The 25,886-nt window shown below is 36.9% G+C and overlaps 1 protein-coding gene and 1 pseudogene across 7 annotated transcripts in view; both read left to right on the forward strand.

Moving 5' to 3' along the window:
* The first annotated feature begins 8,762 nt into the window (after positions 1-8,762).
* The window catches only part of MALRD1 (MAM and LDL receptor class A domain containing 1), a 687,552-nt gene continuing 670,428 nt past the window's right edge, over positions 8,763-25,886 (forward strand). For 5 of the 7 annotated variants that reach the window (XM_011519453.3, XM_011519455.3, XM_017016183.2 and 2 more), the window contains exons 1-2: positions 8,763-9,599; positions 10,795-10,973. In XM_011519453.3, coding sequence (XP_011517755.1) covers positions 9,520-9,599; positions 10,795-10,973 — 259 coding nt within the window. In that variant the 5' untranslated portion in view covers positions 8,763-9,519. Of the gene's footprint in view, positions 9,600-10,636; positions 10,974-25,886 lie in introns of those variants that run through there. The other 2 variants (XM_011519454.2, NM_001142308.3) reach the window with 2 other exon arrangements.
* UBE2V2P1 (ubiquitin conjugating enzyme E2 V2 pseudogene 1) lies at positions 13,291-14,008 on the forward strand (annotated as a pseudogene).

Raw genomic sequence — 25,886 nt, forward strand, 5'->3', positions numbered from 1 at the left:
AATATGTCTTTAAATTTAATAATTATAGAATAAAGCTTTCTTAAAACAAATTGAGTAGAGAAAGAGTAGACGTTAGAAAAGATCTGTGTTAAAATATACATTTTCCCCCTTAAGTTCAAAATTTATACTTTATTAAATTCAAAATAAACATCAAATATATTAAAACAAAATAAACTGTATGTATTAGTTCAGATATTTTTGGTTGACAGGAAGAGAAAATCAGTCACAAAATCAGCTTGTGTAAGTGAAGAATCTCGGGTATAAATTCAGCTTTAGGCATAGCTGTATTTAGAGGCTTATGCAGGGTCAATAGGAATTTATTCATCTTCGACTCCTGACTCAGCTAGCATCTGTGTTTGCCTCACTCTCAGAGTCTTCCCAAATGGTGCCCAAGAGGGCCACTGGAAGATCTGGCCACATTGTCTTAGTTTAGCCAGGTCAGCAGGGGAGAGCACCTCTTCTATGATAGTTTCTGACACCCGGGAACTGCTCCTCCTTTGCCTGCCTTGGGTCACATGCTTATCTCTGAACCAATCACCAAGGCCAGGAAGATGCATAGACCTGACTGCTCTTGACTAAGACTTGTGCTAACACCTCCAACTCCTGTGAAACCACCTAGGGGCTTAAAACCAGCTTGGGTGGTTTCTCAAAGAAAAACATCAGTATGTTATTGCCAAAAGGAGAAATATGCGCTGCAGAGGTACTCAAATAAACAAATAAAAAATGCCACTGATAATTAGAGGCAATCATTTTTATAATATAACATTTATTCATTTGTGTGTACATTTAATGAATATTTATTGGGCACCAATATGTGGTGAATAATATATACTTAGCAGTGGAGATAAAAAGATAAAACATAATATAAAGCCCTTATAGGTTCCTCACAGCACTATTGACAAAAGCAAAGACAGGGAATCACCCTGTGTGCTCATCAACAGCAGATTGGTTAAAGAAAATGTACATATACACCATGGAATAGTATGCAGCCAGTAAAAAGAAGGAATTCATGTCCTTTGTAACAATATGAATGCAGCTGGAGGCCATTATCCCTAAGCAAATTAAGGCAGAAACAGAAAATCAAATACTGCATGTTCTCACTTATTAGTGGGAGCTAAACATTGGGTATTCGTGGACATAAAGATGACAACAGTAGACACTGGAGACTACCATAGGAGGGAGGGAGGCGGCAGGGTTAAAAAACTATTAGGTATTATGCTTATTACCTGGGTGGTAAAATCATTCATACCCCAAATCTTAGTGTCATACAATATACCCATGTAACAAATCTGCACATGCACTCCCAAGCCTAAAATAAAAACGGAAATTATAAAAAATACAATAAATAAAGCTCTAAAGAGGTCACAGTTTTGAAGTAGGAACTGGACACTGAAGCCAACCACCAAGATGCAGTCTATAGCAGAAAGGTAAGCTGGCTATTATGGGAACAAACAAACAAAGTGGGAGGTAGCAGAAGTCAGGAATGGTTTTCTGAGGATGTTATGATAGTTGAGCCTTGAGGAATGAGCGGGAGTTATTCAGGCAGATAACTTAGAAGAAGGTATAGAAGGCAATGCAAGCAGCCTCCCTAATGTTAAAACGCTTCGATTAATGACTCCTGGGAAGTTTCATAGTAATTATTGTGATATTGGCCCAATGCAACTTCCTTTTGCTTTATGTCAATGGTAACTCAGTGCTAATTCAATATTCAAATTATTTATGGGTATTTCTGAAGATATTTGCGCTGTTTTTAAAAGAAGGTGTTCAGCTTCATAAGCCCCTCCAATTTTTTTCTTTCCAGTGACCTCAATAAATAAATGGATAAAAAAGGGATAAGTTGAAAGGTGAACTTGGAGCCAAAATAAGGGGTATTCTGACCCCTTCTGCTTTGATGATAGCCTCTGCTCTCACAAAGGCCATGCTTTTGACTAGAGAAGGATTTGTCTCTTGAGACTGCTCAACAGAGGGCCACAGAGGAACCCTCACACCAGATCCATCCCTGTATGGGATAGCCAGTGACAGAGCTCATGGGGCTGGCATGCCAAATGAGGCACTGATTTATTCATATACTGGCCTGATTCATTACATTTTGGTGCTTGGTGAAAGAAGAACTGGGCCATTCCTGGGCCATTCCATTGTTAACATTTTGGTTAATCAATATAGGGATGGAGTGAATTAAAAAAAAAATCTAGGGAGGCAGAGGTGGGCAGATCACAAGGTCAGGAATTTGAGACCAGCCTGGCCAATATGGTGAAACGCTGTCTCTACTAAAAATACAAAAATTAGCCAGCATGGTGGCACGCACCTGTAGTCCCAGCTACTTCGGAGGCTGAGGCAGTAGAATCGCTTGAACCTGGGAGGTGGAGGTTGCAGTGAGCCGAGATCACGCCACTGCACTCCAGCCTGGGTGACAGAGTGAGACTCTGTCTCAAAAAACAAAAAAAAAAAAACAAAAAAAACGCAAAAACAAGAAACAAAACAAAACAAAAAACTAAAACTGAAAGCTCCTGACAACTAGAGAGGGGTCAGAGAAGCTTTGGGAAGGGTTAGAATCAAGCCATAGTTGAACAGTTGGGGAAGCAGAAGCCCAGCGTACGCTGCTGACATTCCCAGGAGTATATGATACAGCAAATCATCTTACTTTGAGAGTTATCTTCATTCCCAGTAAATTCATGAAAGTGTCAGAACCCTATATATCCACAGGGTTTATATACCCCTCTTATATATGGCTTCCACCAATTTAGAGAATCTGCTAATCCATGCTTAGGTATTTAGAGAACCTGCTAATCCATGCTTACTAGAAGCTGTCATAAAAATTCTGTGTCTATAGAGGAGGAGCAAATGCCCTGTCCCGCAGGTGAGGCACTGAAAGAACTGCACACTACATGTGACTCAGTGGAGGCGAGCTGCTAGTGCTCTGAATTAAGATAGTGAAGATATATTGATGTCTTCTTGACTGAAAAAAAATTTCTAGAGTTCTCTCCTTATTGGAATAAATAAGTCAATACATCTTCCATATTGATAGCTGTACGGGGCCTTTGCCAATGTATTCAGTAAAGAAACTATGATTGGGAGAGCACCTGTTTTCAGAGTCACAATCTGATTATGCTTTTAATAATCCTCCATTATTTTTCAAGACCCATTCAAGTTTTGGAGCAAGGCCAGCAAATAGTTGTTCTCTTGAGAAATAGCTATTGGGTTCAGATAGCGACTAAACTCCTCACCACGAGGCACTAATGATCTTGCAACTTGAGCTGCTCAAAATAAATGGAATGTAATAAGATACACCAAGCTATAAATTTGAGTGTGCCAAGCAGCACTCCATCATCAATGGAGTGATACAAGGTTCAGTAAAACAGTATATACCAGTCTTAAACAGGCCATGAAGTCTCAAATAAATTCCAAAAGCAGATAGCTCACACTCCCAGGAGGTCTGTACAAAATGCCTTATCACTTACATATTTTTTTGCTTTCTAAATTTTTCACTTTTATGTTTTTTTAAATTTCTTTTTTTATTTTCTGGTTTTGCACTGAATGGCATGGCTATCAGAGAAATGTCATCTGTGTAATACTGGGTCTTTGAGATATTTCGAATCTAGTTTTAGAAACTAGTATTTTATTTGCATGCATTCTTGTTTGATGCAGAATTTAAAACATATTCATTAGGGGCTGTTGGGAAAAAACACTCTCAGATTTCTAAAAAATTTAATTTATTTAATTTTATTTGTTTTAAGTTCTGGGGTACATGTGCAGGATATGCAGGTTTGTTATGTAGGTAAACGTGTGCCATGGTGGTTTGTTGCACTTGTCAACCCATCACCTAAGTATTAAGCTCCATTTGCATTAATTATTTATGCTGATGCTTTTCCTCCCCCATCCACTCCAACAGGCCACAGTGTGTGTTGTTCCCTTCCCTGTGTCCGTGTATTTTCATCATTCAGCTCCCACTTATAAGTGAGAACATGCAGTGTTTGTTTTTCTGTTCCCGGGTTAGTTTGCTGAGGTTAATGGCTTCCAGATCTGCTCGGGTCCTGCAAAGGACATGATCTCATTCCTTTTTATGGCTGCATAGGATTCCATGGTGTATATGTACCACATTTTCTTTATCCAGTCTGTCATTGATGGGAATTTCAGTTGATTCCATGTCTTTGGTATTGTGAATAACATTCTCAGTTTTTAATTGTCCCCAAATTTCTTAATTTTGTTCCCTATTATGACTAAACACTTAGTTTGCTGCTCAGTTTAAGTCCAAGTGTAATTTTTTAATCATCCCTATGGAAACATAATTCCACCATCTGCTTGCTTGCATTGTTCTTGTTGAGAAGTTAATTGCTGGTCTAAATAATATTTTTTTGTAGGTAATATGTTTTGTCTCCCTAATTGATTTTAAGAATTTTTATTTTCTTGGTAATTTTTCTGTTTAACTACAAAATATCTAGCTGCATATGTTTTCAATTTCTTCTGTACTCTGATTCTTAGAGTGCATGTTTTCTTAATTTCTGAAAAATTTATATTTTCATTAATTCCATTTATATATTAATAGAGTATCATTTATTAATAATATATTCATATTATATATTCACATATATATTATTCATATAAGTCATATATTATTTATATATCAATCAATATATTGATGATCATATGATTTATAATTAATATATATATTTATATATATAATTAATATATATTGCCCCTCCCTATTTTCTCCTTAATCTCCCCCGTCAACTTTATGTAGTCATGTAGTCATATGTTAGACCTGTCATTCTATGTTCCAGGTTTCTTTCTCTTTTTTTTTTGAGACGGAGCTTCGCTCTTGTTGCCCAGGCTGGAGTACAATGGTGAGATCTTGGCTCACTGCATCCTCTGCCTCCCAGGTTCAAGCGATTCTACCTCAACCCCCAAGTAGCTGGGAATACAGGCATCTGCCACCATGCCCAGCTAATTTTTCGTATTTTTTAGTACAGATGGGGTTCACCATGTTGGCCAGGCTGATCTCAAACTCCTGACCTCAGGTGATCCACCCGCCCTGGCCTCCCAAAGTGTTGAGATTACAGGCACGAGGCACAGTGCCAGGCTTAGGTCCCAGGTTTCTTAAACTATATATGCTTAATATTTTCTATACATCTCTATTGCCTTTCATGTAATTTATTTGTATCTACCTTGCAATTCATTAAATGCTATATTCACGTCGATTTTTTTCTGTATTCACTTCTATTTTTTCTTTGTTATTTTTCTTTTCTATAGTTATATTTTTAATTATTCTTTAACAAAATTGCGGTTGGTTATTTTGTTAGTTTATTGTTCATTGTGCATAATTTTACAATTTAATCTTTTAGAATATTTGATAGTTATTTTATATTCTCTATCTCACAATGCCAGTGGACAACTTTGAGTGTCTACTTCTGCCTCTGCTCGTTTGATTGTTTTGCCTCTGAGTCATAGAGGCTTCCTTCCTGTATACCAGTTAATTTTTCACTTGAGCTCTTATTTAGATGATCATAATTTATAGGAGTTCTGAAGGGCCTTGTTGAAGGTGCCAGGAATTTTTCCATAGCAAATTCTTCCTCTGGCTTTATGCAAAGATATTCATTCTAATTCTTCATTTATGCGGGTTCAAGTCCTTTTATCACAGTTCCCAGTTCATCTTTTAAGATTTAGGGGTCTGGATTTCTTTTATCTGCAAATGTGTCTTCAGGCTTTAGTCATCATTTCTTCTTGCATCTCAAACCTTTATTCAATGCTTATTTTACATTAATCCTGGAATTTTCTTTAAAATATTCTTGAACATGATGTTTTAGTAATAAACTCTCTTTTGTGTCGCCTCTATATCCTCCAATCTCCTTTTCAGCTTTGGAAATTGGCTTTATATTTTGCAAGCTCAGAACTTGGTTATATATTTAAGAGCATTTTATATCCCATTCCATCCAACATATAGATTTTCTGTAGTTAGATAGTTGGGTTTTTTAAAAATAGAAAATGTAATCAACCATTCTTGCCAAAACTAGAAGTAATGTGTGTACACATTTTGTAAGTGCCTTTATACATCCTTCCCTATGTTTGAAATTTTTTAATGTCAGGGACATGGCTTTATTATTCATTGTATCTCTTCTGTCTTCCTTTTACCTATCTCCAATATTTAGCATAAAATAGTTGCTCATTTTCTTTTCTTTTTGAGATGAAGTTTTGCTCTGTCACCCAGGCTGGAGTGAAGTGTCGCAGTCTTAGCTCACTGCAACTTCTGCCTCCCAGGTTCAAGCTATTCTCCTGCCTCAGCCTCCTGAGTAGCTGGGATTACAGGTGTGCGCCACCTTACCTGTCTCATTTTTGTATTTTTAGTAGAGACGGGGTTTGGCCATACTGGCCAGGGTGGTCTCGAACTCCTGACCTCAAGTGATCTGCCTGCCTCAGCCTCCTAAAGTGCTGGAATTACAGACGTAAGCCACCGCACCCGGCCTGAACATTAGTTTTTAAAGTAAAAAAGGGAACAATAAAGGAGGAAACATCAGACATAATGACAATGTTTATGAAGCAGCCAGCACAGTGTTAGGGCCCTAGAATCCAATCAGGCTTTTTTCCTCTTCCTCAATAAACTGCATCAAAACAACCCTAGGTGCTATCAGTATTTCTTTATTCCTTGCCCCTTCTGATACATTTAGAGAAAAAGTAATAAAGATTTATCAGTGGAAAATAATTTTATCTTTTGGAAACAAAATATAAATTTGTGTTATAAAATATTATACTACTGGATGATACTGAGTTACTTTGGGAGCCACATTCCAGTTCATTTCTTGTCTAAATGATGAATGACACTTGAAACACCATAGAGAAATGTAATTTTTAGTAGGTAGTAACAGTTAATAAAGCAGTTTACTGGCTGAAACTAGGCAATAAACAGCTATGACACCAACAAAATACGTGAATTTTTTTTCCAAATGAAAAATGTTATGAGACCTGAATTTAGAATAAGGATGTAAAATTGAAATGTTTCTATTTCTTCACATGCTTCCTTACATTCTTTTGTTTCTTTTCTCTCTTCTTCCCTCTTTATTCTTTTTTATTTCTTTCTTTTTCTCTTTCTTCCTCCTTTCCTTCCTTTCTTTCTTAAAGAGGAAAACTTGACATGACTTTTCTCCTGATATAATCGCTGACTTGTTTAGTGTTGAGGGGTGATGGGGTGTATTGCCACTGTAATACAAAATTGCAGTTTCAAAACCTAAAGGGTCTTTAAAAAGAGTTAGACATGGAAAAGCAACACTGAACATAAGAATTGTATATCTTTTACCTAGTGACATTTAAAATTTTCACATCTTTATTGCATTATTTACATGTGCCTAGCAAAGTTGATATGATGGTAATCCCTCATTAATTTCATTTAATTAACAATTGAATTGAATTGTTTGAGTAACTGCTGTCTGCCAGGATACTGTGCTACTATGCTGGCACCTGGGGATTCAATAGTGAAAAAGTCAAAATCCTGCTGCATCTTTTTTTTTTTTTAATTTTCACACTGAAACAGAAGAAATTTAATAGGTTAACAATCGTATATTTAAGGGGAAAAAAACAAGCAAATATCTGATTTTTTCAAAGTCAGATATATTTATTGTAATATTTTGCCATCTTATAAAATTTTACTATGTGTGGTTAAGATGCACAATATGATGTTATGGAATACATATAGAACATAAGAAGGTTACTATAGTGAGGCAAATAGACATATTCAGCATCTCACCGTTACTCTTGTGTGTATGGGTATGGAAACATCAGCTAAAATCTTCTCATTCAGCATGAACCCCATATACAGTATAATTGTATTACCTATAGTACTCATGCTGTACATTAGATTTTTTTTTTTTTTTTTTTGAGATAGAGTCTTGCTCTGTTGCCAGGCTGGTGTGCAGTGGCATGATCTCTGCTCACTGCAACCTCCGCCTCCCAGGTTCAAGTGATTCTCCTTCCTCAGCCTCCTGAGTAGCTGGGATTACAGGTGCACACCACCACGTCCGGCTGATTTTGTATTTTTAGTAGAGATGGGGTTTCACCATGTTGATCAGGCTGGTCTTGAACTTCTGCCCCCACGATCCACCCGCCTCGGCCTCCCAAAGTGCTGGGATTATATGTACATTAGATCTTTGCACTTGCTCACAAGCCAAGATATGGAAACAACCTAAGTGTCCATTGAGACATGAATGGATAAAGAAATTGTGGTAGATATATACAATGAAATATTATTTGGCCCTTGAAAAGAGCAAGATTTTGGCATTTGCCACAATGTAAATGAGCCTGGCTGGAGGACACAATGCTAAGTTAAATAAGCCAGACACACAGAGAAAATATTGCATAATCTCATTTATATGTGGAGTCTAAAAATCAAATATACAGATGTAGAAAACAAATCAGTGTTTATCGGGATCAGGGGAAGAAAATGGGGAAATGTAGCTCATAGGATACAACGTAGCATGTATGTAGAATGAACAAGTCTAGAGATCTAATGCACAGTCTGCTGCATTCTCATAGGATAGTGAAGAAATCACATGAGGAGACACTGACCATACTGGACCTTCAGGTGCTAAGAATGAGTATTGAGGGCTACAAGAGAACCTAGGAATGAAACGTAACTCAGCCTGGGTAAATCAGCCAAGATATCTTAGAGGAAGTCTCCTAAGATGAAAAATAAAGAATAATGATTAACCTGGTGATTGGGGTGGGGAAGGGATTTCAGATCTGGAGTTGAGAGATGGCATGTTTAGAAAACTGCCAGCACAGTCACTCAGTAAGGCTGTGCTGGAGAGCATAGGGAAGCATTGAGCCTTGCAGGGTAAGCTGTGTTTGTAAGCTACATTCAGAGTATGACAGTTCTACTGATTTCAGAGGGAAATAGATAGGAGTGGATTTGTGCTTTAGAATGATCACTCTACTCTAAGACTAGGAAATGAGTTGTGAGTACCAGAAACATGCTGAGATGAGAATGGATAGAGTCTTCAACGGAAATATGGAAAATACCAGACAGGGTGATTAATAGGTAGGATAGGTGAGAGTAGTCCAGGAACAATCTACAGGTTCCTTACTTGGGTAATTGGACAGAAGAAGGTACCATTCATTGAAATATGGAACATGGGAGTAAGAGCTGGTTGGCGGTGGGGGAAAGGAAAATGAGTTTAGTTTTCTATAAAAGTAGATGTGTTAATTAGGTGTGTGTGTGTGTGTGTGTGTGTGTGTGTCTGCGTGTTCTCAGGAAGAAGTGCATATCAGGATTGTAGAAGAGATTGAGGAAACAAAAATAAAGAGATCTTACTTGAAATCATGAGAGTGAAGAGAGAGCCTAGAAAAAATTTATTAATATAATCTTAGGAGAAAGGAGAACTTAAAATGGAACTATAAGGATAGTCAGCATTTAAGGGACAAGCAAAGAAAAAGAGGTAGATGAAGGATTTATTAGTATTTGTTTGCAAAACAGAGGGGTAAGAAGAATAAATATATGAAACAGGGCTGAAGCACAGTGCAACAAAATGTTAGATTATGTGGAGTGCTCAGAGGAAAGGCAGAATTGTGGATTCCTGTCCCCCTGCCCCCCAGAATCCAGAATGTCTACACAAAATGTATGTATATACTTTTTCCCCTACAATATGGGTAATTCTTAGAACATTTAAAAAAATGCTCAGATGCCTTTTCTGCCCCTGGTCTATGCTCCTTTCCACTCTACATTCTCCGGTTATTTTTGCCTCTTGCGGTTACACTGCAGAAATTAAAATAAAATAGTTGAAAAAGAACTTTAACATCCCCTTAAGAAATCAAATATAAAGCAATGTATAGAACATTCAACATCACATAATTTCTATAATATTCACGCTCATAAGATTATGTAATTATTATGTCTGTGTGATCTCAACTTCAATATATTGTTCATTCTGAATATGCATCCTGAAATCAGGTGTTTCACTTGTAAAAGTAAATCGTGATGAATTGACAGGTGAATTCTTGTGCTATAGAAGAGGGAACACTGTTCTTAGCAGCAGGATATTTGAGCTCTAATTTCTTATACCAACTTATTGTATTTTCTCACATATATCTCATAACTTCCTTGGGTTGAAGTTATATGATTTATAAAATAATAACATCCAATGTCCCCTCAACTTTTAAAAATCTATGGTTCTTAATTTATCTCAAGAAGCACTTACTAGCACCCATGGGCTATAGACAGACAAACAAACAAAAGAAGACAAAAACAAGCAAGGTGAGTTTTCTATTTCATAATAATGGAAAAGCATTTTATTTTCATAGAGCAATTCTAATAATTGGGCCTGAAATTTTGAATATGTTTTAGTGTCCACAATAATGTTCTAAATTACACAAATGTGATTGAGTATAGGAATTAAGACAGACCATTTTTATGTAATTTATAGCTTTATTGTGGTTGCCTCTCCCCTGCTGTTTATTTAGCTGGCCTTTATTTTTTACAAATGTCTTTCAGGAGATAGCAAGACCATAAAGGCTTAAATTGTGTAAATATGGCATACAGGGGGCAATAATCATCTATAGTTAGCTAGATAAAGAACCAGCGTAATTACTCAAGTTAAATATTTTCTAAAGTCACTCCTTTGAAAGAGCAAATTAACTGCCTGGGGAGTAATTTGTTAGAGTTGCAGATAGTTACCAATAGTATCCAGTTATAAGAAGCAAATCTGGGAAAGGAAGAATAGAGAAATAAAAGAATGTTTCCAATGATGGACTTACTTATTACAACTGCTTGATCTCTAATAGACAATACCAAGTAATGCTCTTCTTCCTGGACAGAATGTTGGCATTCCCCATGAATGAAACTTTTTGTTGCCTTTGGATTGCCTGTGTTTTCAATTCTACACTGGCTCAGCAAGGGACAGAAAGCTTTCAGTGTGACAATGGAGTCTCCTTGCCTCCTGACAGCATTTGTGACTTCACAGATCAGTGTGGGGATAGCAGTGATGAACGGCACTGTAAGTGACATTCTCCTTTCTCCAATTTCAATTCCCCGTACAGCCTGAAACGAGGGCCTCTGAGCAGTCTGGGAGATTTGGCTAGATACTTGGCTCTGTATGCATTGTATCTTGTATACCTTTAGTGTAGATCAGAAACTAAGATATATTGTTTACTAAAGAGATGAGTCCATATAAAAAAATTATCAAATCATGAAGATATTCACCTGATGGAATATATTTTTCAGTCAGTTTTTACTGATTATGAAGAAGGAGTGCTAAACAAAGATATAGCTTTAATGTTACGTGAGTGAAACAAAATTTAAAAGAACTCATTAATGCAGCTGTAAAATGCTATGATGGAGATCAATAGCTTACGTGTGAATTTAATGTGGAGATATTTGAAATGAATTTTAGATTGGTTGGGTAGATTTTATTTTCATTTACAGAACACTGCTATCAAGTGGGTTGGTACCAATTGCATGTGGGATACAACTCTGGCTTTTGTCCTTTGATTTCAGAGTAGTAGAAGGGCACAAGCTTCAGAGAATGCAAGACCTAGATTTATGTCCTGGATGAGTCATCCAGGACCCAAATCTCCTGTGATTTTGAACTTTATTTTATTATAAGAGGTCATGAGATGAGATAAAGCAACTCTCACAGGTGGGAAAATGCCCCATGGCATACTGGGAGAACACTAAGGAACAGGAAGAAGCTTACCAAGGGAAGACGTGTGTAATGACATGTACGTTCCTGTCATTTCTATTGCAATATGCAATCTTCAGGGTTCACCATATTTCAGCAATGGAGACTAGTGTCATTCTTACACACATTCACCCTTCATAAACCACATTTTCATAAAATTACCAGGGGCTCATTGAGAGTTCATAGTAGCTATTGGTGCGGTTAATTATCCAGAGGCACGAATTCTATTATTGTAGGTCACTTAACTCAAACATATGTCTTCTTTTTTTTTTTTTTTTTTTTTTGAGACGGAGTCTCGCTCTGTCGCCCAGGCTGGAGTGCAGTGGCGGGATCTCGGCTCACTGCAAGCTCCGCCTCCCGGGTTCACGCCATTCTCCTGCCTCAGCCTCCCAAGTAGCTGGGACTACAGGCGCCCGCCACTACGCCCGGCTAATTTTTTGTATTTTTAGTAGAGACGGGGTTTCACCGTTTTAGCCGGGATGGTCTCGATCTCCTGACCTCGTGATCCGCCCGCCTCGGCCTCCCAAAGTGCTGGGATTACAGGCGTGAGCCACCGCGCCCGGCCTTCTTTTTTTTTTATTCAGATAAAATATCAATTCATGTTTACAGAATTCATTCTTTTCTGCTAAAATAAGTTTCTACATATTTGATTTTGCCATTGTTTACCTTCCATTTATATATTCAGTTGCTATTACATTAAAACCAGAAGAGTGATTACTGAAGAACTTTTTTCTCTGTAGAATGAAACAGGCTAATAATATTTTTCTCTTAGTTTGGGATGGCTGTCATGCTGTTACTACTCAGTAACCATTCAATACCAAGTTCAGCCAAGGGCAAAGATTCATTTGTATTTGTCCAATTTCCCCAGAGACGCTAACTGTGGGCTTGTTGCACCTTGCTCTGGACTGTCTGGAAGAGCCCTTACTGTTCCTTGATGAGCAGCAAAGAGGAACGACTTGGCTGGTTTGACAAGCAGTGCCAAGTCCCTTCCATTATAAATCTCTATGAAGCTTCCTTCAGTACCCTGGCTGTGATAACGTGCATGGTCCTGCTTCAGAGAAAAGGTTAACGTGAAGAAATGGAAAGCTGCTGAATAGGAAAGGTCTTGGCTGCATGAAAAATTCTAATAACATACAGCCTTGGAAGGAAGTGAAGGCATAGATCTGTCGAATAAACAGATTTCATTTTAAATGTTACATGGAGAGGTCACCTTTTGGACTTCTTGCTTTTCATTTTCATTTCTGAGAAGTTTCCACTTTGGCATTTTATTTAAAATGTGGGTGAGAATCTGCAGATAAAAATTGAGAATCACTTTAAAGCATGAATTTCTTTTGTATATCACACTGGAAGAAACTATTGTGAAGAAATAGCAATGGCCAAGCAGTTTCACTCATGGAAACTTGTGATGGCTAAACTTATAGATTAGATTTTTTTAAAACTAGCTTTATAAGGATTTACAGTAGCCACATTAAAAAAAAAAGTCCCCTTTAACATCCAACTTGTGTGACATTTAAAGAAATAGATTAATGTGTCAACTTTTCTGAATAAAATTGACATAGCTGAAGTTAAATTTCTGATGCCTCAGGTGCTATTAATACATTTTTGAAAATAAGTTCTTGGACAGGGATGCAAGATGGCAGCCACCACAGGCTTGGGAGTAAAAGTCCCTCTCAATTTCCGACTGTTGGAAAAACTTGAAGGCCAGAAAGGAGTAGATGGCACGGTTAGCTAGGATCTAGAAGATGATGAAGATTTGACATTTACAAGACGGACAGGAATGATAATTGGACCTCCAAGAACAATTTATGAAAACCGAATATAGGCTGGGCGCGGTGGCTCACGCCTGTAATCCCAGCACTTTGGGAAGCCGAGGTGGGTGGATCACGAGGTCAGGAGATGGAGACCATCCTGGCTCACGGTGAAACCCCGTCTCTATTAAAAATACAAAAAATTATCAGGGTGTGGTGGCAGGTGCCTGTAGTCCCAGCTACTTGGGAGGCTGAGGCAGGAGAATGGTGTGAACCCGGGATGCGGACCTTGCAGTGAGCCAAGATTGTGCCACTGCACTCCAGCCTGGGCGACAGAGCGAGACTCCGTCTCAAAAAAAAAAAAAAAAAAAAAAAAAAAAAAAGGAAAGCCAAATATACAGCCTTAAAATAGAATGTGGACCTAAATACTCAGAAGCACCGCCCATTGTGAGATTTGTAAGAAAAATTAATATGAATGGAGTTAATAGCTTTGATGGCATGGTGGATTCAAGAGCCATGTCAGGGCTAGCAAAATGGCAGAATTCATATAGCATCAAAGTTGTCTTGCAAGAGCTTTGGTGCCTAATGATGTCTAAAGAAAATAAACAGTATTACAGCAATTAATCAAAAAGAAAAACCACAGGCCCTTCCCCTTTCCCCCCATTCAATTTAAGTAGTCTTCATTTTCCACAGTAGTAAATTTTCTAGATACGTCTTGTAGACCTCAAAGTACTGGAAAGGAAGCTCCCATTCAAAGGAAATTTATCTTAACATACTGTAAATGTTACTTTTTTTTGTCCATTTGAAATATATAAGTTGTGCTATAATAAATCATCCTGTCAAGTGTAACCACTGTCCATGTAGTTGAACTTCTGGGATCAAGAAAGTGTATTTAAATTGATTCCCATCATAACTGGTGGGGCACATCTAACTCAACTGTGAAAAGACACATCACACAATCACCTTGCTGCTGATTACACGGCCTGGGGTCTCTGCCTTCTTCCCTTACCCTCCTGCCTCCCACCTTCCGTGCAACAACAGCCCTCTAGCCCAGGGGGCTTGATAGAGTAGATGTGAAGGTTTCAGGTTGCAGCCTGTAGGACTGCAGCTGGGTGTGTGGGGTGCTTTGCCTGCACCCCTGGTTTCTTTAACTCTTAAATGATGCCCCTTCCAAGCCATCATCCTGTTCCCGTGCTCCTCTACTCCTGCCCTTGGCTGAAGCATAGGTTGTAACCCCTCTACTCCCCTCTGAGATTGGCCTTTGGTAAGGAATTCAGGGCTTTTGGCATATCTTCTCTCCTCCACCTTTATCGAGGGGTGATGCTTTTTCTTCCCTCCTCAAGTTCCTTTTTGCACTATCACCACCCAACACCTTCTATGATACTTCCTTGCTTAGGCCAGAAGCCGTCAGGCAAGGTTGGAAAGAATCTCTGACCTCCCTTGATTAGTTCTGGGACCGTACTTACTCACTCTTCACCAGCCTGGTAAATGAAGATTGGGTCCTCAGCCCTGCCACCCTCTGCTCTCATCAGCTGATGCATTGTTTTTAGCTCAGGTTTTGATAAGGTGAAAAGAATAGTCACCAGGGTTACTTAGGTCAGCCAGCTCTTGGAGTCTTTGGTGGTTGAACGTGGAGAAAGGCCACATGAAGACACTTGTAAGCACACGTGATCTCTGAATTGTTTTACTTGCCTGTAATTGCTTTTGTTTTTAAAAATCGAAGAAGTTTTAAACAGGGCTTTCATTTGCTCATCCTTGCAATCCATTGGGGTCTAGTTTGGAATCTGACAACTGGAACAAAAAGAAACTTGAATCCGGTGCATGCCTTGGTTTTGGTGCTGCTGCTGCTTCTCAAGATCCTCGGCAGGAATTAAGAAAGAAGCTGGTGTGGACAGCAGATCCCCGAAATTGGCGGGCTTGACCTCCTGGCAAATTGCTTCGTCTTTCCACTTTCTGTTCAGGACCACTAAATGATGAAATGTGGGTGTATACAGAATTAAAAGCAGTTCATTGTGTACCAAAGTTTTTTTTGTTTTTTTAGTATTTGTGTAAAACCACTTTTTGAAGCAGCAACTATCAAGTCTGAAAAGCAATTGATGTTTCCATTAATCTTTTTCTTGGGGAAAACCTTAGTTCTAAGGATTTGACATCCTGTAAGTGAAGTTTAACATAACAGTATTCCACACGCAGTCTTTTTATTGTCAGACCATTGCCTGACTTCAATATAATAAAAAAAAACCTGTGCATTAAAAAAAAGAAAATAAGTTCTTATTTTACATGAACTTCTTTTTTAGAATATGTAAACCTTTTATTTTTACTCAGTATTGTTTTAAGAAATCAGAAAAAAAACTGAGTCCTCAAGATTAAATAAATTCCATTTTCACATGATATTAAGCACTTAACCTATAGTGAACTAAAAAAGTAATTTGTAGGTCTAATAACTGTTTGGGTCTAGTGTTGATGAGAATCCCTCTTTTAGGACCTATTAACATGCTTATCAAGGGAAATATAAGTTGTGGTACTGGTCTGTGTAATTTTTTTAAAAAAATTTTTAAATGATTTAAAAATAGCTTTTAAGTCATATTTTTAAAAAAGTGTAAGTGTTACATTGCTTCTGTGCTGACTCACATTGGCTAGTCTTCATTCTCTTTTATTATTTTTATTTTTACTTTTTATCAATATTACTTTTAATTGACAAGTTATAATTGTATACAATTATGGGGTACACAGTCATAATATAAGTATATAATGTGGAATGATTAAATCAAGCAAAGTAATCCATTGCTTTGCAAAGCATTGGAAATCCATTTGCAAGTCCATTGCCTCACTTATCAATTTTTTTTGTGACAAGACATTGAAATTTACTCTTAGTTATTTTGAAATATACAATACATTAATATTGACTGTAGTCACCCTGTTGTGCAATAGATCTCAGAATTTACTCTGCTTATCTATCCGAAACTTTGTGACTTTTATTATCTTCCCATTATTGCCGCCTATACCCCAGTGTCTGGTAATCATCATTTCATTTTCTGCTTCTCTAAGTTCAGTGATTTTAGTTTCCACATGTAGTGAGATTGTGTGGTATTTGTCTTTTGGTGCCTGGCTTGTTTCACTTAGCATAATGTCCTTCAGGTTCATTCGTGTTGTCACGAATGACAGGATTTCCTTCTTTTTATGACTGATAGTGTTTCACTGTGTGTACATACCACATTTTCTTTATGTATCCATTGATGTACACTTAAATTGATTCTACATCTTGGCGATTGTGAATAGTACTGCAATAAACATAGGAGTGCAGATATCCCTTCAATAAACTGATTTTCTCTTCTTCAGAAATATACCTAGAATTGGGATTGATGGATCATATGGTAGCTTAATTTTTAATATTTGAGAAAGCTCTGTATATTTTTCCATAATGACAATACTAATTTACATTCACACCAACAATGTACAAGAGATCCCTTATTTCTGTATTCTGCCAGCACTTGTTGTCTTTCATCTATTTTTGATAAAAGCCATTCTAACAGATATGAGATTATATCTCATTGTGGTTGTAATTTGCATTTTCCTAAGATTAGTAATACTGAAAAATTTTTTAATGTACCTATTGAACATTTGTATGTCTTCTTTTGAGTAATATCTGCTAAGGTCCTTTGCCCACTTTTAAATCAGGATATTATTTTCTTGCTATGAAGTTGCTTGAGCTCCTTATATATTCTGAATATCAACCATTATCAGATGTGTGCTTTACAAATATTGTTTTACCATTCTGTGGATTTTGTCTTTACTTTGTTAATTGTCATCTTTGCTGTGCAGAAGCTTTTTAGTTTGATGCGGTCCTATTTGTATATTTTTGCTTTTGTTGCCTGGGCTTTTGGGGACATAGCCAAAAACAGTTGCCTGTACCAATGTCATGGAGCTTTTCTCCATCTTTGCTTTTACAGGTAGAAGTTTTATAGTTTAAGGTCTTATATTTAAGTCTTTAATCCATTTCAAGTTGATTATTTTACATGGTGTGATTTAAGGGTCCAGTTTCCTTCATCTGCATATGGATGTCCAGTTTTTCTAACATCGTTTACTGAGGAGACCCTCCTTTCTCCCTTGTGTGTTCCTGTCACTTTTGCCAAAGTCAATTGACCATCAATGTGTGGGTTGATAGACACTTAATACAGGAACAGAAAACCAAATGCTGCATGTTCTCACTTATAAGTGGGAGCTAAACATGGAATACATATGGACACAAAGAGAGGAACAACAGACACTGGGGACTACTGAAGGGAAGAGGGAGGTGGGTGAGGATCGAAAAACCACCTATTGCGTACTATTCTTATTACCTGGGTAGCAAAATAATCTACACAAACCCTCATGACACACAACTTACCTATGTAACAAACTTGCACATGTACCCTTGAACCTAAAATTAGAGTTAAAAAAGTGTTGCTTTATTTCTGGGCTTTCTAGCTTGTTCTGTTGGTGTATGTGTCTGTTTTTGCTGGTCTATTTTTATGTTTTGATTATAGTTGCTTTATAGTATATTTTGAAACCAGATAGTGTAATGCCTCCAGCTTTGTTCTTTTTGCTCCAGATTGTTTTGGCTACTTGGAATCTTTTGTGATTTCATATGGATTTAAGTTTTTTTTTCTATTTCTGTGAAAATTACATTGGAATTTTGATAGGGATTGCATTAAATCTGTAGATCGCTTTGAGTGCTATGGGCATTTTGACAATATTAATTTTTTAAGTCCATGAATATGGAATACATTTTCATGTAATTGTGTTTCCTTAAGTTTAATTCTCGGTGTTTTATAGTTTTCAGTTTGCAGATATTTCACCTTGTTAATTAAATTTATATCTAAGTATTATACTTTATGTGTTGCTATTGTAAATGGGATAGTTTTCTAAATTTTTTTGGATGGTTTCTTATTAGTATATAGAAAAACGATTGATTTTTGTATGTTGCTTTTGTATCCTTCAATGTTACTGAATTTTTTATTAGTTTTAACAGTTTTTTGTTAAGTCTTTTGGGTTTCTACATATAAGATTATGTCATCTGCAAACAGGTACACTTTTACTTCTTTCTTTCTGACCTGAATTCCTTTTATTTCTTTCTCTTGCCTAAATATTCTGGCTAGGACTTCCAGTTCTATGCTGAAAATTGGTGGTGAGAATAGGTATTTTTGTTTTGTCCCTGATCTTAGCAAGAAAAGTTTTTAACATTTCACTGTTAAGTATGATGTTTGCTCCCTGTTGGTCATATGGCTTTTACCGTATTCTGTCTATAAGTAATCTGTTGAAAGATTTTATTATGAAAGGATTTTGAATTTTTCAAATGCTTTCTCCGAATCTATTGAGATGATTATATGGTTTTTATCCTTCATTCTGTTAATGTGGTGTATCACATTAATTGATTTGCATAAGTTGAACCATACTTACAGTCCTGAGCTAAATCCCACTTGATCATGCCAAATGCTTCTTTCAATGTGTTGTTGAACTCAGTTTGCAAATATTTTGTTGAAAATGTTTGCATCTGTGTTCATCAGGAATATTGGCTTGCAGCTTTTATCCTTTAAGTGCCCCCATCTGGCTTTATTATCAAGGTAACGCTGGTCTCATAAAATGACTTTTTACCTATTCAGCCACTCTTTGTCTTTTGATGAATTCAGTACATTTACCTTCAAGGAAATGATTGATAGGTAACTAATTACATTTATTAGTTGCTGGCACCATCAAGGTGCCAGCAGATTCAGTGTCTGGTGCCCTCTGCTTGGTCTGCAGACGGCTGCCTTCTTATTGAGACCTCACATAGCACAGAGACAGATCACCTCTCCCGTGGCTGTTCTTGAGAGGGCAGTCATCCAGTCCTGAAGGCACCATCCTCATGATCTCATAACTTCCCCAAGGCCCCACCTTCCAATACTATCACATTGGGAATTAGGGTTTTAAATATGAATTTGAGGGGACACACACATTCAGCTTATAGTACCACAGAATTATGTATGCAAGAAATCTAAAAATAAATATGTAGAGCCTATTGGAAGAAAGTCAGAAAAAACACAGATGTGCAGAAAAAAGACTCATGACAAGACTATGCTTCTTAATGGGATGTTTCAATGGTGTGAATAGGTCCATTTTCATGGAATCAATTTAATTACATTCTAGTACAAAATCTAGCAAGGATAAACTTTGGAATCTGATAAAGTGTCTTCGAAGTTTATCTAGGAAAATGAGAGATAAATAGCTAGCAAGAGGGAGAAGAAAAAGAGAAAGAATTTTCATTATTAGGTATGATAGTGTAGCATGTAAACTACACCAACATTATGAAAGTTTATAATTAGAAAAGAATGTGATTGTTAAAAATATTAAGCATATGTGTAATATATTTAACAAATAAAGTTGGCCTTCCAAATTAGTTGGGAAAAAAAATAGCTGATAGTAATTTCAGCTGATTTGTATACAGTACTTACTGTATGCCAAGCACTGTTAAATAATCTCCATCCAGTGTCTCGTTTAATTTTTACCAAACACAAACATTGTAGGAATAGTAGTTTTATTGTTGTTCCTATTTTACGGTTTGAGGAAATGAGGCTTAGACTAGGTAAAAGAAAACGCCAGAGGACACAGAGCTGTTCCATGGAGCAGCTGGAATTCACAAACAATTCTGTCTGATCCTGAAACATCAATACCAACCACCATACCATGCTGTTTTTATTACATACAACAAATGAATATGAGGCAATTTCATGAAATACATTTCTTATTTGCTCCAGACACCAAAAATTTCTAAAGATAAAATGTTAAATATTAACAACGAAGCCATAATCTTTATTGCCTCTAATAATCAGAAAAGTCAAGGAAAGTTTCTCTTTTTCTTTGATGTGTAATAGATTTTCAAAATATGTTTGTTGAATATTGATATTGAGTAAGTATTGGGGTGGGGAAGACCTTTGTAAGTGTTAAATGAAAGAAGAAAACTTTAAAAGTCAGTAAATTAGAATATATAAATTAAAAGTTTCAGTATATCAAAACATTGCAAGTAAAATGAAAGAGGAAAAACATCTGCAATATAGCACACCAATAATTCTTTTCCAGGTCAATAAATCAAAGATACATTTTTCTTTCATACAAAGGTAGGTAAAATTCTTGAAAACAACTCAAACACACAAAAAGAGAAATGACCATGTATGATGAAGTTATCAACTTCACTATTAATTGTAAATCCCAATTGAAAACAAAAAGCTGCCAATATTTTTAAAATAAAATAAATATGAAAAATAAAAAAAGTATGTGCACTCTTGGGAAGGGCATAAGAAGATGGATACTATTTCAGGCAAGAGAATTATAAACTCTACCTTTCTTTGTTTAGTATTTTTATAATATGAAAGAGGATTTAAAAAGTGTTCATGCCCTCTAACTGGTAATTTTACTTTTAGAAATTTATTCTAAGAAACAAAATGAGTTCATGCAAAAAGTCTCCTTACAATACCATTTCATATGGTAGAAATAGGAAGTCATTTAATTTTATGATATTAGGTTAATGTTTAAATAAATTATGATGCATGGATAATGTGGACATTTGTGCAGCCATCTGTCATAATTTTTGATGCTATTTAGAAATGAGAAAGTGCTCATGAAATATTGTTATGAGAAAAACCATGATTACCCATCAATATATGCATTGTACTTAAAAATATAGTATGGCACTGCACATAAAATATGAGCTGGAATTATCTCTGTGTGTTGGGCTTCTATATCACTTTTCTTTTTTGTATATCTTTATGATTTCAACTTTTCTAAAATAGCATCTATTGTTTTTGGGGTTTTGTTTTGTTTTTTGAGATGGATTCTTGCTCTGTTGCCCAGGCTGGAGTGCAGTGGCATGATCTCGGCTCACTGCAACCTCTGCCTCCCGGTTCAAGCGATTCTCCTGCCTCAACCTCCCGAGTAGCTGGGACTACAGATGCATGTCACTATACGCATCTAATTTTTTTGTATTTTTCTTAGTAGAGATGGAGTTTCACTGTGTTGGCCAGGCTGGTCTTGAACTCCTGACCTCAAGTGATCCGCCCACTGTGGCCTCCCAAAGTGCTGGGGTTATAGGCATGAGCCACTGCGCTGGCCCTCTGCATCTATTTTTTTTTTATAATGAAGATAAAATTATATTTTAAAATGATCTAATAAACAGCCTTCCTATTAGCAATTGTGCTTATTTTAGAAATGAAAGCAAGATAATATTAGGCATATATGCGATGTAAGCGGATTCATTTTCTTTCTTTCTCATTTCTATGTTTTTTCCCAAACCAATGAAAAAGGTTTTCTGTTGTTGTTGTTGTTTTTGCAGATGTTATTTTTTAATCAGAGTAAGGAAATTGAGAATTTGCAAGTAAAGTAATTTGTCAAAGTTATATTAGCAAAGGCAGTCAATATCGGCAAGAAAAGTGTTATGTAGCAGGGTTAAATCGTGCATTGTCTAGTCCTATTTGAGTTCAGAGTCTGGCACTTTTTCTTCCCCATCACAACTGCCCATCTGGGTGTCAATCTTTTTATTTTGTTTTGGAGCATAGTGTCTGGGCTCTCTTTTGTGTGTTTGTGTGCATGTGCTTGTGTGTGTACCCACCAGTATCCACCGATGTTTCTGGTGTTGAGCCTTCTGCCCCATGCAGTTGTTTTATGTACGTTATCTTACAGCAGTAAGAGGAGCTCATTGTGGTTCCTCTGTGCCGGTGTTTCTTTGAAGGCAGCAACTTGTCTGCAGGTTTGAGCTCAGCTTCCCTGCTGCTCCCTGATGCTGGCCTAGAAGTTGCTTAACCATCGACACAAGGTGAACACAGTTCCTTTTTGATCTATTTTCCGGAAATCAGGTCCTTTTTTCTCTCTCTGGTCCCTTCCCCCAATCTACCTCCTGCAAAGTCATGCCTATCTTTCCTGCCCTCTTCTCAGACCCCTTACCCTTGCCTGGCCTCCCAGGGATGGGATCTTCTCACTCTCCCATTGTGGTTTTCCAATTCTAATTCTATGGAGTTAAGCCTATGCCCTCTGTTATTCAGACATATTAACTATTCAAGGACCAATTCTTAGTCAAAATTGGATAGTCTGTTTTTCCTTGTGTTTCATTTATAATGGTTCTAACTTTCCTAGAGGCAATGACCAGAGAGAGGTCACAGAGTAGAAGGTGAAGAAAAAAGAAAAACACTGTTTTTAAGATTTCAAGGTTTGTCAGCAAAGTTATCTACCTTGAAGATTCTAGAGTGTCAAAGCAGCCTTATATCATGTGCAGCAGCACTATTCACAACAGCGAAGACATGGAATCAGCCTAAATGCCCATCAATGACAGACTGGATTAAGAAAATGTGAAATACTATGTAGCCATAAAAAGGAATGTGATCATGTCCTTTTCAGGGACATGGATGGAGCTGGAAGCCATTATCCTCAGCAAACTAACACAGTAACAGAAAACCAAACACCACATGTTCTCACTTATAAGTGTGACCTGAGCAATGAGATCACATGGATACAGGGAGGGGAACAACACACACTGGGGCCTGTCAGAGGGTGGCGGGTCATCAGGAGGGAGAGCATCAGGAAGAATAGCTAATGGATGCTGGGCTTAATACCTAGGTGATGGGATGATCTGTGCAGCAAACCAGCACGAGACTAAAGAGACAGAAATCTTTTATATTGAAAACTATGTCATTGTTGAAAGACATTTACAAAGATATAAATGGAAAAGATATTCTGTGTCCATAGATTGGAAGATTTAATATTGCTAACATTTCAGTACTACCGAAAGCAATCTACAGATTCAGTGCAATCTCAGTCAAAATTTCAATAATTTTTCTTCTGTAAAAGTAGTAAACTTTATCCTGAAATTCATGTAGAATCTCAAGGAACCTCAAATAACCAATAAATAAATAAATAAATAAATACCTGGGAAAAGAAGAAAGTAAGAGGTCTAACACTTCCTGATTTCAAAACTTATTAAAAAGCTACAGTACCTGAGTGTGGTATTGACATAAAGACAGCCATCTAGACCATGGAATAGAATAGAGAGCCCAGAAATAAACCTTCAAATATATGGTCAAGTGAGTTTTGAGAAGGGACCCAAGACCAATGGGGAAAGGACAGTCTTTTCAACAAAGGTGGTGGGAAAATTGGGTAGCCACAAGCAAAATAATTGGAGTTGGACCCTTACCTTATACCATATACAACAAGGTACCTCAAAATGGATTGAAGACCTAACTGTAAGAGCTAAAACTGTAAAACTTAGTAACAGGAGAAAAGCTTCATAATATTAGATGTGGTAAAGATTTATTCAATATGACACCAACAGCACAGGCAACAAAACAGATACATTGACTTCATTGAAATTAAAAACTTCTATTCATCAAAGGACAGTATCAACAGAGTGAAAAGGCAATCCACAGAGTAGTAGAAAATATTTGCAAATCATACATCTGATAAAAGATTGATATCAGAATGTAAAAAGAACGACAGCTCAACAACAACAACAACAAAATAACCTAATTAAAAAATGAACAAAGACCTTGAATAGACATTTCTCAAAAAAATACATAAATGTCCAATAAGCACATGAAAAAATACTCAACATTGTTCATCATTAGGGAAATACAAATAAAAACCACAATGAGATACCACTTCACACCCATTGTGATGGCTATTATAACCATCCAAAAAATCTCCTAGAAAATAATGTATTTAGGAAGATTTGCAGAAATTGGAACACTCATGCTTTTCTGGTGGGAATGTAAAATGTTGTAGCCACTTTTGAAAACAGATGGCAATTCCTCAAAATATTAGAAATAGAATTACCATATGATATAGCATTTTCACTTCTTGATATATACCCCAAGGAAACCAAAGTAGGGACTCGAACAAGTATTTGTACACCCATGTTCACAGCAGTGTTGTTCACAATAGCCCAAAGCTAAAAACCACTCAAGTGTCCATTGACAGATGAATGGATAAACCAAATTTTATATGATATGACATAGATCAACCTTGAAGACGTTATGCTAAGTGAAATAAGCAACTCACATACACACAGAAAAACATACACTATATGATTCCTCTTATGTGAGTTACCTACAATACTCTAATTCATAGAGACAGAAGGTAGAATTGTGGTTGCCAGGGTTTGAGTAGGGAGAAATGGAAAGGTGGTGTTTAATGGGTACAAATTTCAGTTTTGCAAGATGGAATGGCTTCTGGGGATAGACGATGGTGATGGTTGCTTAACAATGTGAATATACTGAATACCACAGAACTACACACTTAAGAATGGTTAAAATTACATGCCTGTAATTCCAACACTTTGGGAGGCCGAGGCTGGTGGAATGCTTGAACCCAGAAGTTCAAGATTAGCCTGAGTAACATGGCAAAACACCATCTCTACAAAATGCAAAAAATTAGCCAGGTGTGGTCTTGTGCACCTGTAGTTCCAGCTACTTGAGAGGCTGAGATGGGAGGATCACTTGAGCCTGGGGAGGTCAAGACCACAATGAGCCATGATTGCACCATCACACTCCAGCCTAGGTGACAGAGCAAGACCCTGTCCCCCCCCCAAAAAAAAAGTTTATGTAATGTATATTTTACTACAGTAATGAAACAAGGGTAGGACTCTGATGGGAAGACTACAACTGTGCCTTATAGAACCTGTAAGAGGAAGAAAAATGTACATCATTAATATTGACCCAGGGAAAATTTTGAAATAAGTGTGGTTTCTATCTCATCTCTTCCCTTGCTAGATTTTTCATAATTCTTACATTGTGTTCTGTCTTCTAAGAACATTATGTTGTGTTGCTTTACCCAGACCATACTTTCCAGAGTTAATCCTGAGTTCTGGATTATCTGAGTTTCTTCACCATTACTACAATGAAAACGTATCCTACTCATTCCCACTTTTTCAAAATCATGCCTCAAGCTGATTGTCACTTTGGCATATTATTTAATATTTTTCTTTCCTTGTGATAGTTTACTGAGAATGATGATTTCCAATTTCATCCATGTCCCTACAAAGGACATGAACTCATCATTTTTTATGGCTACATAGTATTCCATGGTGTATACATGCCACATTTTCTTAATCCAGTCTATCATTGTTGGACATTTGGGTTGGTTCCAAGTGTTCTCACTCATAGGTGGGAATTGAAGAATGAGAACACATGGACACAGGAAGGGGAACATCACATTCTGGGGACTGTTGTGGGGTGGGGGGAGGCGGGAGGGATAGCATTAGGAGATATACCTAATGCTAAATGACGAGTTAATGGGTGCAGCACACCAGCATGGCACATGTATACATATGTAACTAACCTGCACATTGTGCACATGTACCCTAAAACTTAAAGTATCATATAATAAAATAAAAAATAATAATAATAATTAAAAATATTTTTCTTTCCATTATCGTGTTAAAGATCAAAACTATGAGGAATTCTTTAGGGGTTCTATAATGAGAGAA

Source organism: Homo sapiens, chromosome 10 (genome assembly GCF_000001405.40).
Source record: "Homo sapiens chromosome 10, GRCh38.p14 Primary Assembly".
Taxonomy (NCBI): domain Eukaryota; kingdom Metazoa; phylum Chordata; class Mammalia; order Primates; family Hominidae; genus Homo; species Homo sapiens.